The sequence below is a fragment of the Homo sapiens genome, chromosome 19 (assembly GCF_000001405.40).
Source record: "Homo sapiens chromosome 19, GRCh38.p14 Primary Assembly".
Classification (NCBI taxonomy): domain Eukaryota; kingdom Metazoa; phylum Chordata; class Mammalia; order Primates; family Hominidae; genus Homo; species Homo sapiens.
In genome coordinates, this window is record NC_000019.10 from 28,682,935 (window position 1) to 28,699,916 (window position 16,982).

The 16,982-nt window shown below is 38.5% G+C and overlaps 1 pseudogene across 1 annotated transcript in view; it reads right to left on the minus strand.

Annotated features, from left to right (window-relative positions):
• Positions 1–16,982, minus strand: part of LOC100420587 (SHC binding and spindle associated 1 pseudogene) — a 292,307-nt pseudogene that overhangs the window by 247,547 nt on the left and 27,778 nt on the right. The window lies entirely within an intron of this gene.

A 16,982-nucleotide genomic window follows, 5' to 3' on the forward strand; every position in this document is an offset into this window, starting at 1 on the left:
CAGAAATAATTCTACACTCAAGCCCAGTAGAATAATCAAATATAAAATACAGACATAAAGCAAACTACAACGGCAACAGTGATTCTTGGGGCAGCATGTGCAAAATACAGTATTTTGCTATCTAATATCATTGTGATCAGAAAAGAAATGTGCCAAAACACTGTTTCTCATTCCACTTGAACTGGATCCCCATAATTCCAACAAACATCACTTGTGACATTAGGTTGTCATCAGCTTGCATGATCCCCAGTTCACTTAACCTTTTCTTCTTCATCTGGCCTTTTTGTGTAAAGGCAGAAACCAGTTCATTTACAATTTCCCTCAACTTGCTCAGAAAGGTCAGATCTTGCATAAAACTCCATTTTAGCAGGTGCACATTGCATCAGCTCCTCTGGATCTACTCTTTCAGCTACATCTGCCTTTCTACTTGTCTGAATTTTAAGTGCTTTATTTTCTGGATAAACAAACTATGACAAAGTTCAGTATGCAAGCTAGCCCAACTAAAACATAACATTTCTACACAGTCTGTTAGAGCTTTCAAGTGTTTTCTGCCAAGTATTCCTGCTGTCATCTAACTGGAGTTTACAAATTCCTTGCCATAAGAATCTCAATGAGTAGTTTTTTCCAATTCTGTGAAGAAAGTCATTGGTAGCTTGATGGGGATGGCACTGAATCTATAAATTACCTTGGGCAGTATGACCATTCTCACGATATTGATTCTTCCTATCCATAAGCATGGAATGTTCTTCCATTTGTTTGTGTCCTCTTTTATTTCATTGAGCAGTGGTTTGTAGTTCTCCTTGAAGAGGTCCTTCACATCCCTTGTAAGTTAGATTCCTAGGTATTTTATTCTCTTTGAAGCAATTGTGAATGGGAGTTCACTCATGATTTGGCTCTCTGTTTGTCTGTTATTGGAGTATAGGAATGCTTGTGATTTTTGCACATTGATTTTGTATCCTGAGACTTTGCTAAAGTTGCTTATCAGCTTAAGGAGATTTTGGGCTGAGACGATGAGGTTTTCTAAATATACAATCATGTCACATCTGCAAACAGGGATAATTTGACTTCCTCTTTTCCTAATTGAATACCCCTTATTTCTTTCTCCTGCCTGACTGCCCTGGCCAGAGCTTCCAACACTATGTTGAACAGGAGTGGTGAAAGTTCATATGGAACCCAAAAAGAGTCTGCATTGCTAAGACAATCCTAAGCCAAAAGAACAAAGCTGGAGGCATCACACTACCTGACTATACTAAAAGGCTACAGTAACCAAAACAGCATGGTACTGGTAACAAAACAGCATGGTACTGGTACCAAAACAGAGATATAGACCAATAGAACAGAATAGAGCCCTCAGAAATAATACTACACATCTACAACCATCTGATCTTTGACAAACCTGACAAAAATAAGAAATAGGGAAAGGACTCCCTATTTAATAAATGGTGCTGGGAAAACTGGCTAGCCATATGTAGAAAGCTGAAACTGGATCCCTTCCTTACACCTTATACAAAAATTAATTTGAGATGGATTAAAGACTTAAATGTTAGACCTAAAACCATAAAAAACCCAGAAGAAAACCTAGGCAATACCATTCAGGAAATAGGCATGGGCAAGGACTTCATGTCTAAAACACCACAAGCAATGGCAACAAAAGCCAAAATTGACAAATGGGATCTAATTAAACTAAAGAGCTTCTGCACAGCAAAAGAAACTACCATCAGAGTGAACAGGCAACCTACAGAATGGGAGAAAATTTTTGCAATCTACTCATCTGACAAAGGGCTAATATCCAGAATCTACAAAGAACTCAAACAAATTTACAAGAAAAAAACAACCCCATCAAAAAGTGGGTGAAGGATATGAACAGACACTTCTCAAAAGAAGACATTTACGCAGCCAACAGACACATGAAAAAATGCTCATCATCACTGGACATCAGAGAAATGCAAATCAAAACCACAATGAGATACCATCTCACACCAGTTAGAATGGTGATCATTAAAAAGTCAGGAAACAACAGGTGCTGGAGAGGTTGTGGAGAAATAGGAACACTTTTACACTGTTGGTGGGACTGTAAACTAGTTCAACCATTGTGGAAGTCAGTGTGGCGATTCCTCAAGGATCTAGAACTGGAAATACCATTTGACCCAGCCATCCCATTACAGGGTATATACCCAAAGTATTATAAATCATGCTGCTATAAAGACACATGCACACATATGTTTACTGTGGCACTATTCACAATAGCAAAGACTTGGAACCAACCCAAATGTCCATCAATGATAGACTGGATTAAGAAAATGTGGCACATATACACCATGGAATACTACGCAGCCATAAAAAAGGATGAGCTCATGTCCTTTGTAGGGACGTGGATGAAGCTAGAAACCATCATTCTCAGCAAACTATCGCAAGGACAAAAAACCAGACACCCCATGTTCTCACTCATAGGTGGGAAATGAACCATGAGAACACTTGGACACAAGAAGGGGAACGTCACACACTGGGGCCTGTTGTGGGGTGGGGGAGGGGGAGGGATAGCATTAGGAGATATACCTAATGTAAACGTGGAGTTAATGGGTGCAGCATACCAACATGGCACATGTATACATATGTAACAAACCTGCACGTTGGCACATGTACCCTAGAACTTAAAGTATAATAATAATAATAATAAAAAGAAAAAAAAAAGAATCTCGATGAGTGACTGTCTTGCTCTTTATGCCAAGGTTTCCTGATCTTCATACAGGATCACAAATTTTGAACTATTTGTCTACCCTTTTCATCCTACAATCTTCCCCACTCAACAGATATTTATTGGATATTTACTATCTGTTAAACATTGTGTTAGGAACTAGGATGCAGATTGGTAAGACAGTGCTACTTTCCTTTAACTCCCAATCTAGCAGCAAACTCTAGATGAGCCCCATGATCCCAGCCCCCGGTATTATTTTCATGACGATTAAATGGCAAAAGGAGTTTGCACTGCAATTTGCAATGTAATTAAGGTTCCTAATCAGTTTTCTCCAGCTGGTTGCAAAAGAGGAAAAGAGGAAGTCAGAGAGATTCAAAGCATGAAAGGTTTGCCTTGAGGGAGGCTCTCTTCTGCTGAGATAGAGGGGACCATGAGGCAAGAATCTGAGAGCAGCCTCTAGAAGCTAAGTGCGAGCCCCAGCAAATAGCCAACAAGAAAACAGAGACCTCAGTCCTACAACCTACAGAAATGAATTCTGTTGATGAATAACATGAATGTATTTGGAAGTAGGTTCTTCCAACTGAGCTTTTCTTTTTTTTTTTTTTTTTTTTTTGAGATGGAGTTTCATTCTTGTTGCCCAGGCTGGAGTGCAATGGCACGATCTCGGCTCACTGCAACCTCTGCCTCCCAGGTTCAAGTGATTCTCTTGCCTCAGCCTCACGAGTAGCTGGGATTACAGGCATGCGCCACCACACCCGGCTAATTTTGTATTTTTAGTAGAGATGGGGTTTCTCCATGTTGGTCAGTCTGGTCTCAAACTCCTGACCTCAGGTGATCTGCCTGCCTCGGCCTCCCAAAGTGCTGGGATTACAGGCGTGAGCCACTGTGTCCAGCCCCAACTGAGCTTTCAAACCAGAGCACTGTCCAGCTGACACCATGACTTCACCCTTCAGACCTGTGAAGAAATAAAGAACTTGCTCTTCAGGAGTGGACCCTGAAGGATGACAAGGAGTACTCTTGAAACTGCTTTAAACTTTCCTTAACTCGGTCAATGCTTAATTCTTCTCTATGACTGAGATTTAGTAGACTGAGATCTATGTCATCGCTTTGAAGTTCACAAATATCCAGTGAGTTAGCTCACCTTTGCTGCCAAGAAAGGCAGATGACAGGGAGGCACTTCCTTCTACCAATAAAAAATGGAGGCAAACTCCACTATTGGCTCCAGTAAACACAGCCCTCAACCTGGCACATGGATTACCCCACCTCCAACCTCAACAGATATCAGCCGGAGCCACCACTGCTATCACACACCCATCCTCATTCTATACGTTTATAGAAAGCCAACCACAGTAAGAAGGGAACTGAAGGACCACAGAAACCACAATGTCAAGGTTTTGAATGAACAGTTGAACTAGCTGACTTTGAAAGTTCCTTTCTCCCTCAGATTCTATAATGTTATAGCTTTACCAAAACTTCTCTTTCTCCATGCCCAAACATATTCTGGCAATCTTAAAAAAAAAAAAAAAAAAAGCAGGAAGACTCAGATCCTTAATCGGATTTTAATGCTGAAAAAAAAAGTAAATTAGGTCTGATTTTTCTATCTAAAATTCCTAAATATCGCATACCTTCAGTTTCATCTTGGGCACTTTCTTGGAGGTTAGAGAAAACTGTAGCTTTCACCAAGAAAACACCATAACCTTCATTTTATGATATTACTCACCAAGGATATTTTGGGAATGTCATAATGTTCATCTAAGAAGACCTGTGACACTGAAAACAAATGTTTCAAGGAACTGTCTTTTCAACACTGCCTGCTTAAAAAATCTTGCCTTTTTTCACACTATTCTAAAAATAAAGCAGAAAAGCTATGCTGCTATGCTGATTCACATGCTGTAGCACAGTGTGATGCAGCATTCCTCTGTCATTTCTGCAGATCTAGAGGCAACAAAGTATTCTTGCAAAAGACTTTCAATCATTAGCTACTGATATTATTAGAATTTATATACTATTTAGGCCTTTCAAAGTCGGAAAACAATAGGACCCAACATGGGAATGTAATAAAGCATAATTTCTTAGGTGAAATCATTCCAACCTTTAGAAAGCAAGTGTCTCGGCCAATGCTCAGCTTAATGAGGAGCCCTTCCTTGCAACAGCGGGTCCATTCTCACGCAGGGAACCCAAACTTACTCCCAGGATATATTTCTATGCCAGCACCCTGCAAGTTACAATTTGAGATAATAACAATCAGTTTCAAAAAGGCAGGAAGAATTTTATTACAATCACTTTTTAGGCTTTTACACAGTGCAAATGTAAAGCACAAAGATAAAGCATTTTACAGATAAGCTTTATTAGGTATTTTAAACCAACACTTCATTTGTTCCAGATTAGCAAGTCATTAGCATGTATCATTTTCAAACCACCCCCACCCCACCCCAACATACAGGCTGAGTGTCAACATTCAATTCCTGTTCCACTGTCTTTCATTCTAGATAAATCGGTTTTCAGATTCTGCCAAAAGTAGAAATCCTTTAACAATTTTGTTGAAAGATGCACTTAATCAAAATGACCATTCTCTCATCTACTCAATTAGTGAAGAACAGTATTTGAGTTTAGTAAAATATTATAATTTGAGACTAGAAATAAGGCCCTATATTTAAAAAATTCCAGTTATAAGATACCCCAATCCAACTTAAAAATCACTTCTACGAATTAAGCAATGGCCTTCACTGCTACACAGGTTAAAATTAACAACTAGTTCAAGTGTAATTTATATAGAGTAACCAGAAAGATTCAAACCTGGTCCAATTCTCTCACACTGTCTCCTCACACCACATGGCACCAACAAAAAAGAAACAGTAATAGGAATAATTTATTTCCTAATGTTATGCAAGGCACTTTAAAAAGCAAAATGAGTCACTCAAACCTCTATAGTTATTTAGGAAACCACTTAGGAATAATTTAATACACAAAATCATAGGTGAAGAAGAGCTGGTATAACTACTCATGACACATCTACTGCATGTATGATACTTTTCTAAGAGCAGTCATATACCATGAGAAAACATTTATTATTATTTTTCCCTTTGCATATGCCTGAACCATATATGTACACACTAACTTATCTCTTCTGTAGAGATGTTTTTAAAAATCTGCTAACTGGGACTTCAGAAAAAAAATTTTCAGCTCGGGGTTATGTGCAAAAAAGACACAGGAGTGATTATATTAAAAATACATATACAAATAGTTAAATATCGAACTTCAGGAATCACATAAAATTTAAAAAGAATGGGAACAGCAGCTATCTGGCAAATGATATGATCATATTCAAACTTAGTTATAAAGATGAACAAATAATTTGGCAATTAAAAAGTAACTGCCACTTGTGAAACAATAGAGATGTCTCTATTTTTTCTGCTAGGTATAACCAAAAACCATGGGCATTGTATATAAAATAAACATAAGATAACTGAAAAATGGAAAGAAGGTGGCAGACCAGCAGCAGACCTCAAGACCCAAGAAAGAACACCAACACAGTGGGAAGTTCCCAGGGTTTTCTTTTCACTTCATAATCCCCAGACTTGGAGCTTATGTAGCTGGCAATCCAGTATACAAACAGACAAAGACCAAAAATGCCCCCAAAATACTGCTTTGTCTAGTCAAAGGACTAGGCAACCTAGAAAGATGAAGGGGTGGGTTGCCCCTCCACACCTGTGGGTGTTTCTCGTTAGGTGGAACGAGAGACTTGGAAAAGAAAAAGACACAGAGACAAAGTATAGAGAAAGAAATAAGGGGAGCCAGGGAACCAGCGTTCAGCATATGGAGGATCTCGCCAGCCTCTGAGTTCCCTTAGTATTTATTGATCATTTGTGGGTGTTTCTCTGAGAGGGGGATGTGTCAGGGTCACAAGACAATAGTGGGGAGAGGGTCAGCAGACAAACACGTGAACAAAGGTCTCTGCATCATAGACAAGATAAAGAATCAAGTGCTGTGCTTTTAGATATGCATACACATAAACATCTCAATGCTTTACAAAGCAGTATTGCTGCCCGCATGTCTCACCTCCAGGCCTAAGGCGGTTTTCCCCTATCTCAGTAGATGGAACGTACAATCGGGTTTTATACGGAGACATTCCATTGCCCAGGGATGGGCAGGAGACAGATGCCTTCCTCTTGTCTCAACTGCAAGAGGCATGCCTTCCTCTTATACTAATCCTCCTCAGCACAGACCCTTTACGGGTGTCGGGCTGGGGGACGGTCAGGTCTTTCCCTTCCCAAGAGGCCATATTTCAGACTATCACATGGGGAGAAACCTTGGACAATACCTGGCTTTCCTAGGCAGAGGTCCCTGCGGCCTTCCGCAGTGTTTGTGTCCCTGGGTACTTGAGATTAGGGAGTGGTGATGACTCTTAAGGAGCATGCTGCCTTCAAGCATCTGTTTAACAAAGCACATCTTGCACAACCCTTAATCCATTTAACCCTGAGTTTGACACAGCACATGTTTCAGAGAGCACGGGGTTGGGGGTAAGGTCATAGGTTAATAGAATCTCAAGGCAGAAGAATTTTTCTTAGTACAGAACAAAATGGAGTCTCCTATGTCTACTTCTTTCTACACAGACACAGTAACAATCTGATCTCTCTTGCTTTTCCCCACAAAAGACAGAAAACAGACAATAATACCTCCATTCCAGCCAAACAGCACAAAATAAAAGAGCGACCCCATTCCCATCATGCCAGCCAAGGTTGAGAGGAACCTGGACTTTTGCCCTCTGAAGGCTGTAACCAGGTATCCCAACACTCCCACTGGGGTGGAATCAGTAAAAGCAAAACAGGGAGCCAGGACTTTCATCCCCACTAACTGGTGACAAGGCCCTCTCTGCAGCAGTATTAGTGAAGACTGAGGAGCCTGGGCTTGTACCCCCACCTAGCAGCAACAAGATGCCTGCCCCCTCCCCATTGGGGTGGTGTCAGAGCAAGCCTAGTGGAGATTACAACTTTCACAATTGGCCAGTGGTAAGAAGACCAGCCCCATATACCACAGTGTCAGTGGAGACCAAATGGGAAGCTAGAATTCCCACTCTTACCCAGCAGCAACAAGGAGCTCCTCCACCCAGCTTGAGTATCAACAGAGGCTAAGGGGAATCCATGACTTCTACCTCAACAAGGTAATGGCCACCTACCCCCATCTTTTATCTTTCTGCAGAAATGTCAGAGAAGTTAGAGAAGATCCAGACTTTCATAATGTAATACAAAAAATGTCCAGGATTCAAATGAAAATTACTTGTCATACCAAGAACCAAGAAGGTGTCAAATTGAATAAGACAATCAACTGATGCCAAAACCAAGATGTCAGAGATGACAGAATTAGCTGACAATAATTTGAAAGCAGCCAGGATAAAAATGCTTCAATGAGGAATTATAAACATACTTCAAACAAATGAAAAATGAGTCTCAGCAAAGAAATAGAACACAGAAATAACCCAATTAAAATTTTATTTTTATTTTTTATTTCAATAGCTTTAGGAGTGTAATATAGTTTGGATATTTGTCCCCACCCAAATCTCATATTGAATTGTAATCGCCAATGCTGAGGGTAGGGTTTGGTGGGTGGTGTTTGAGTCACGGAGGCAAATCTCTCTTGGCTTGGTTCTGTCTTTTCAATAATAAGTGAGTTCTTGTGAGATGTGGTCATTTAGTGTGTGCCCCCTCCTACCCCCTTTCACTTGCTCCTGCTTTTGCCATGTGAGGTACCTGCTCCCTTTTTGCCTTCCACCATGATAGTAAGCTCCCTGAGCCTCCCTAGAAGCTAAGCAAATGCCAGCATCATGCTTCCTCTAAAGTCTGCAGAACCATGAGCCAATTAAACCTCTTTTCTTTTTAAATTACCCAGTATCAGGCATTTCATTACAGCAATGCAAGAACAGCCTAATACAGAAAACTGGTACCAAGGAGTGGGGCATTGCTTTAAAAACACCTGAAAATGTGGAGGCAGCTTTGGAACTGGGTAATAGCAGAGGTTAGAAAAAGTGTGGAGGGCTCCAAAAAAGACAAGAAGATGAGAAAAAGTTTGGAATGTCTTAAAGACTGGTTAAATGATTGTGACCAAAACGCTGATAGTGATAGGGACAATGAAGCCCAGCCTCAGATGGACATGAGAAACTTACTCAAAACTGGAGAAAAGGTCATGTGTGTTATGCCTTGGCAAAGAGCTTGGCTGCATTCTATTCATGCCCTAGGGATCTGTGGAAGTTTGCACTACAGAGTGATGACTTAGGGTATCTGGCAGAAGAAATTTCTAAGCCACAAAGCACTCAAAAAGTGGCCTGGCTGCTGCTTCCAACAATCTACACCCAGATGCAAGAGCAAAGGAATGACTTTAAGTTGGAGCTTTAAAGGGGGGGCAGAGCATAAAAGTTTAGAAAATTTGCAGCCTGGCCATGTGGCAGAGAAAGAAAAAGCTTTCTGGGGGAGAATTCAAGCAGGCTGCGGAACAACTACTTGTTAGATACTTGCGTGACTAAAAGGGATCCAAGTGCTAATATCCAAGACACTGGGAAAAAGGTCTTGAAGCCATTTCAGAGCTCTTCTCAGCAGCCCCTCCTATCACAAGCCCAAAGGCCTAGGAGGGAAGAATTGTTTGGGTGGCCAGGACAAGGTTCCCAAAGCCTGCACAACCTCAGGACAGTGCTCCCCACATTCTGGCTGCTCTGGCTCCAGCTGTGGCTCAAAGAGTTGCAGATACTGCTTGTGCCTCCAATCCAGAGTGGGTAAGCCACCATAGGCTTTGGCAGCTTCCACATGGTGTTAAGCCTGTGAGTGCACAGAGCGTAAGAGTGAATGAGGCTTGCTACTCTCTACATAGATTTCAGAGGACATACAGAAAAGCCTGGATGTCCAGACAGAAGCCTGCTGTAGGGGAAGAGCCCTCATGGAGAACCTCTACTAAGGCAGTGCCTACAGGAAATGTGGGGATGGAACTCCTAGAGTCCCCACTGGAGCATTGCCTAGTGGAGCTGTGAGAAGCAGGTGACCAAACTCCAGATCTGAGAATGGTAGATCCACCATCAGCTTGCACCCTGAGCCTGGAAAAGCCACAGGCACTCAACAGCCAGTGAGAGCAGCTGCAGGAGCTGAACTCTGGAAAGGCACAGGGGAAGAGCTGCCCAAGACCTTAGGAGCTCACCCCTTCCATCAGTGTAACCTGGGTGTGGGACACAGAGTCAACGGAGATTATTTTGGAGATTTAAGATTTCATGACTTCCCTGCTGGGTTTTAAACCTGTATGAGGCCTGTAACCCCTTTCTTCTGCCTGGTTTCTCCCTTGTGGAATGGGAATGTTTACCCAATGCCTATAGCTCCATTCTATCTTGGAAGTACATAACTTCCTTTTGACTTGCCTTGTTCAGATGAGACTCAGATGAGATTTTGAACCTTAAACTTTTGAACTAATGCTGGAATAAGTTAAGACTTTAGGGGACTATCAGGAAGGCATGATTGTTTTTTGCAATGTGAGAGAGACGCGAGATTTGGGAGGGTCCGGGGCAGAATGATATAGTTTGGATATACATTTTTCCCTGCCCAAATCTCATGTTGAATTGTAATCCCCAATGCTGAAGGTGGGGCCTGGTGGGAAGCTCTTGGACCATGGGGGCAGTTCCCTCATGGCCTGATGCTGTCTTCATGATAGTGAGTGAGATCTTGTGAGATCTGGTCATTTAAAAGTATATGACACCTGCAGTCCCTCTATCTCTCTTGCTCCTGGTCCAGCTAGGAGCTGCAATGTGCCAGCTCCCCCTCTGCCTTCTGTCATAATAGTAAGCTTCCTGAGACCTCCCTAGATAGAAGCAGATGCCACTAGAAGCAGAAGCCACTATGCTTCCTATATAGCCTGCAGAACCATTAGCCAATTAAACCCCTATTCCTATGAACTACCCAGCCTCACATATTTCTTTATAGCAGTGTAAGAACATCCTAATACAGAGTACACATGCTTTTTGGTTACAGGATGAATTATAGAGTGGTGGAGAGTCTGGGATTTTAGAATATCCATCACCAAAATAGTACACATTGTACCCAACAGGTACTTTTTCATCCTTCACCCTCCTTCCAACCTCGCCTATTCTGAGCCTCCAATGTTGGTGATACCAGTCTGCAAGCCTCTGTATACCTAAAGCTTAGCTCCCACTTGTAAGTGACAACATGTAGTATTTGATTTTCCACTCCTGAGTTACTTCCTGTAGAATAATGGCCTCCAGTTTGATCTAAGTTGCTGCAAAAGACATTATTTATTTTTCATAGTTCATTATTTTCTGAGTAGTATTTCATGATGTGTGTATATGTGTGTGTATATATATATATATAAAACACAAAAATAAAAATTTTAGAACTGAAGAATAATTAAATACCTCAATGATAAGTTCAACAGCAGAATGAAAAGAACAGAGGAAAGAAACAGTGCATGGAAAGACAGAACAATAAAAATTTAAAAATTACCCTATCTGAACAATAGAGAGAAATTAAACTGAAAAATAAACGTAAACTGAGCTTCAGGGACCTATTGGACTATAAGAAAAGATCCAATATTTGTGTCATTACAGACCTGGAAGGAGAGGAGAAAAAAGGTGAGGCTAAAAAGGAAATAATGACTAAAAGCTCCCACATTTGGTAAGACACAATAAGCCCACAGAGTCAAGAAGCTGAGCAAACTCCACACAGGATAAACTCAAATGAATCCATGAAATGATATATCATAATTAAATTACTGAAAGCTAATGGCAAAAACAAAAAAAAATATTGAAAGCATCAGTGAAAATTTTACACCTTAGCCATTGGAGAGAAATTGTGATTGACAGCATCAGAAACCATGGATGCCAGACAAAAGAGGCCCAGTATTATTTAAGGGTGGAAAGAAAAGAACTGTCAATCCAGAATCCTATACCTGATAAAGATATTCTTCAGGAATGAAGAAATCAAAACATTCTAAGAAGAAGAGAAACTAAGATAATTAGCAACCAGCAGATCTACTCTAATGGAATGGGTAAAGAAAGTTCTCTGAACAAAAGAGAAATAATAAAAGAGGGAATCTTGGAACATCAGAAAGGAAAAAGGGGCAAAAGCAAGCAAAAATACCAGTAAATAGGCTTTCCTTCTCCTCTTGAGTTTAAATTATGTTTGAAATTTGAAATGAAAATATTAGTATCGTCTAATGTGGTTCTAGATGTACATAAAGGAGATATTTAAGACGATTATAAAAAGAAGAAAAAGAAATTGCAGGGAGCCAAAGGCTTGTGGGACGTGACCAACTCAGCATTCCACTGGAGGCTATATGATCAAACAACAAACTGTTTTTCATGAATGCAGGATGTGGGCAAACTCATGACTGCTCCTGCTGGCAGAAGGTTTGCTGGAGGCAATCACTCCCTGGTGCTGAGGTTATCTGCCGTGACATCTACAGCCTGTTGTTCGAGGACTGCATTCTTGCAAGCCTACTCTGGACCAGGCAGCTGACCCCTTCTTTCATCCCCCTTCTCACTATCTCTTTTGCCTAATAAATATGGAAGACTGTGTAAAGCTCAGGGCCCTTGTCCACTAGAGGCAAGGTGCCCCCTGACCCCTTCTTCCAAATATACTCTTTTGTCTCTTGTCTTTTATTCCCACATTCACCCGGCTTTGTTTGGTCCCCCTAGGTCTGTGCGGGTTACATAGTGGTGCCCCAGTCAGCGACAGAATCGGGTGCTCCACAAGAGATGTAAAAAAAGCAGAGTTTCTCTACTTCACTTGAACTGGTGAATGAAGACACCAGTAAACTGTGAGGCTATGTACATATATTACCTGAAGCGATCACTAAAAAAATAGCTACACAAAAAGATATATTCAAAAACAAATGAAACTATGAAAACTGCTCAGGTAATCCACAGGATGGCAGAAAAATGCAAATCAAGAAATAAAAAGCAGAACAAACAGAAAACAACAAATAAAATAGACTAACGACTAAACATCAATAATTAAATGTAAATGGTCTAAAGACATTAAAAGACACAGATTGGGAGAGTGGATTAACAACATGACTCAACTATATGCTATCTACAACCAAATTTAAACAGAATAATATAGGCAAGTTGAAAGTAAAATAGTGGAAAAAGATATATCATGCAAACATTAATCAAGGGAAGGCAAGTGTGGTTATATTAATGTCAGATAAGGTAGACTTTGGAGCAAACAAAATTACCAGAGACAGATAATGACATTACATAATGAGAAATATGTTTCACCAAAATGACAACATAGCAATCCTAAATGGGCATACAACAAATAACAGAACTGCAAGATACGTGAAGCAAAAACTAACAGAACTGAAAAGACAAACATATCCATACTTGTGCTTAGAGATTTTAGCAACCCTATCTCAAAAATTGACACAATTACTAAACAGAAAATCAGAAAGAATACAGAAAAACTCAATAATACCACCTACCAATTTGATCTAGTTGACATTTATAGAATGAAATACCCAAAAACAGCAGAATACATATTCTTTTCATAGGGCCACTTTACACATAACAAGACAGACCACATCTTGGGCCATGAAACAAACCTCAACAAATTTCAAAGAGTTGAAATCATACACAGTGTTTTCTTACAACCATGGAATCAAACTAGGAATCAACAAAAAGATAACAGTAAAACTCCCAATACTTAGAAACTAACACTTCTAAAATCTGCATGGGTCAAAGAATGAAAATACAAAATATAAAAATATGTGGAACACAGCTAAAGTAATGCCAAGAGGGAAGTTTGTTAACATTAAGTGTGCACACTAGAAAAGAGGAAAAGTCTCAGATCAATAACCTATGCTTTCATGTGGAAAACATAGAAAAAGCAAAACAAACCCAAAACAAGCAGAAGGAATGAAATCATAAAAACAACAAAAACCAAGGAAATTGAAAACAGAACAATTTTTAAACATCAATGAAACAGGGTTGGTTCTTAAAAGAGAGAGAACAAACGAACTACCAGTATAGATTACCAAACAGAGATTATCACTACAGACCCTGCCGACATCAAAAGAATAAGGAAATACTACAAAAAATTCGATATATGTAAATTTGACAACTTAGAAGAAATGGTCCAATACTGCTAAAAGCAAAAACTACCAAAATTTACTCTATATAAAATAGGTCATTTGAATAGCTCTTTACCTATTAAGAAAATTGAATTCATAATTTTAAAAATTCCAAAAGATAAATCTCCTGGCCCAGACGGTTTCATTGGAGAAATCTATTAAACATTTAAAGAATTAACAGTAATTCTACAAAATCTCTTTTAGAAAATAAAAGAGAAAAAATACTTCAGAGTTCATTTTATGAAGCTAATATTAGTGATACCCAAACCAGACAAAGACGGGAGTACAAAAAAAACAAAACTGCAGACAAATATTCTTTATGAATATAGATGCAAAATTTCCTCACAAAACATTAGCAAGTATAATTCAGCAAAATATAAAAAGATTATACACTATGGCAAAGTGGTATTTATGCCATTGAGGCAAGGCTGGTTCAAAATTTGAAAGTCAACCAGTATAACCTATCATTATTTTTTTTTCTAATAATAAAAATCAGGTGATCATCTCAAGAAATGCAGAAAAATACTTGATAAAGAATTTGATAAAGAATATCCATAAAAAAACTTGATAAAGAATATTCATAAAAAACCTAGTTAACCTCATTCTTAATGATGAAATATTGAATACACTCCCCATAACATGAAAAATAAAGTTAAGATATCTACTCTTATTCAAAATAGTGCTGGAAGTTCTAGCCAGTGCAATAAGGCAAGAAATTTAAAAAAAAAAAAAAAAAAAAAAAAAGCTTACTAATCAGAAAAAAAAAAACAAAAAAAAAACGCAACTTTTGATACTTATAGATAACATGATTGTCTACATAGAAAATCCCAAGGAATCTACAAAAACACTTTTATAACTAATAGGTAACATTCAGCAAGGTCAAAAAATACAAAATGAACATACAGAAATCAATTATATTTCTATATACTAGCAATAAACATATGAACATTGAACTTAAAAATATAGTATGACAATCTAATAATAACAAGCAATGGAGAAAAAACTCCCTATTCAATAAGTGGTGCTGGGATAACTGGCTAGCCATATGCAGAAGATTGAAACTGAACTCCTTCCTTTCACCATATTAAAAAATCAACTGAAAATGGATTAAGGACTTAAAAGTAAGATCCAAAAGTATAAAAACCCTAGAAGAAAAACTAAAGAGCTACTGCAGAGTATCAGCAGTGTAAACAACCTACAGAATGAGAGTAAATATTTGTAAGCTATGCATCTGACAAAAGTCTTAATGGCTAGAATCTATAAGAAAAAAAAACAGGCAAAAAACAAACCCATTTAAAAATGGGCAACGGATATAAACAGACACTTCTGAAAAGAAGATATATGCATGGCCAACAAGCATATGAAAAAATGCTCAATATCAGTAATCATTAGAGAAATGCAAATAAAAGCCACAATGAGATACCATCTTACACCAGTCAGAATGGCCATAATTAAAGTCAAAAAATAGCAGATGTTGGTGAAGTTACAGAAAAGGTCATGCTTAAACACTCTTGGTGGTACTGTAAATTAATTCAGTCATTATGGAAAGCAGTTTCAAGATTTTTCAGTGAACTTAAAACACAACTACCATTTGACCTAACAATCTTATTACTGGATATATACCCAAAGGAATATAAATCATTCTACCAAAAAGACACACAAACTCGTATGTTCATCGCAGCACTAGTCACAATAGCAAAGATATGGAAACAACCTAGATGCCCATCAAGGGTGGACTGGATAAAGAAAATGTGGTAAATATATACCATGGAATACTGAGGCAGACATAAAAAAATCATGTCCCTTGAAGCAACATGGATGCAAATGGAGGTCATTATCCTAAGCAAATTAACACTGGAACAGAAAACCAAATACTGCATGTTCTCACTTATAGATGGGAGCTAAGTACTCAGTACACATGGACACAAAGATGAGAACAACAGACAACAGAAGCTACTTTAGCGGGCAGAGAGGGAGGTGGATAAAGGTCAAAAAACTACCTATTGGGTACTATGCTCACTACTTGAGTGGCTAAATCATTTGCACATCAAACCCCAGTGACATACAATTTACCCATGTAATGAACCTGCGCATGTACCTCATGAATCTAAAATAAAAGTTGAAAAAAAAAGTACAAAACACAAACAACAATTGTATGCTGAAGACTACATAATGTTGATGAAAGAAATCAAAGATCTAAATAAACAGAGAAATATGTTCACAGATTGGAAGACTCAACATAACAAAGATGTCAATTCTTCCCAAGTTTATATACGAGTTTATTAAAATTCCTTTCAAAATTTCAGCATCATTTCTTGTGGATATAAAATTATTCTAAAATTTATATTGAAAGGCAAAGAACTTGGGTAGCTGAAACAATTTTCAAAGAGACCAAGTGGGAGAAATCACTCTATTTGATTTCAAGACGTAAATACAGCTACAGGTATTAGTGAAGAAACAGGACACTGATCAGTGAAACAGAATAGAGAACACAGAAATAGACCTATACAAATATTCCCAAACAATATTTGAAAAAAATGTAAAACCAGTTTATTGGAGGAAGGACAGTCTTTTCAAGAAATGGTAAAGGAGCAACTGGACATCCAAAGGCAAAAAAACGAACCTTGACCTAAACCTCACATCTTACAGCAAAATTAACTAAGAACTGGATTACAACTTTATATAAAATGTAAAACTATAAAAATTTTAGAAAAAAATAGGAGAAAATATTTGGAAATCTACAGCTAGGCAAAGAGTTCTTAAACTTAACACTGAAATGCTCAGTCCATAAAAGGAAAAATTGATGAATTGGACTTCATCAAAAATAAAAACTTTGCTCTGTAAAAGCCCATATAAAGAAGATAAAAAGACTAGCTACAGCGCAGCAGAAAGTATCCGCAAACCACATACCTGACAAAAGACTAGTACCTAGAATATATATAGAACTCCCAAAACTACAGTAAAAAAGGACAAACAATCCAATTAGAAAATAGGCAAAAGTCACAAATAGACATCTCACTAAAGAGGATAGAAGAATGGCAAATAAGCCTATGAAAAAATGTTCAACACCGTTAACCACTACAGAAATAATTAAAACCACAGTTAGTACTACACACCTATCAGAATGGCTAAAACAAAAAATAGTGAAAACACCAAATGCTTTCAGGAT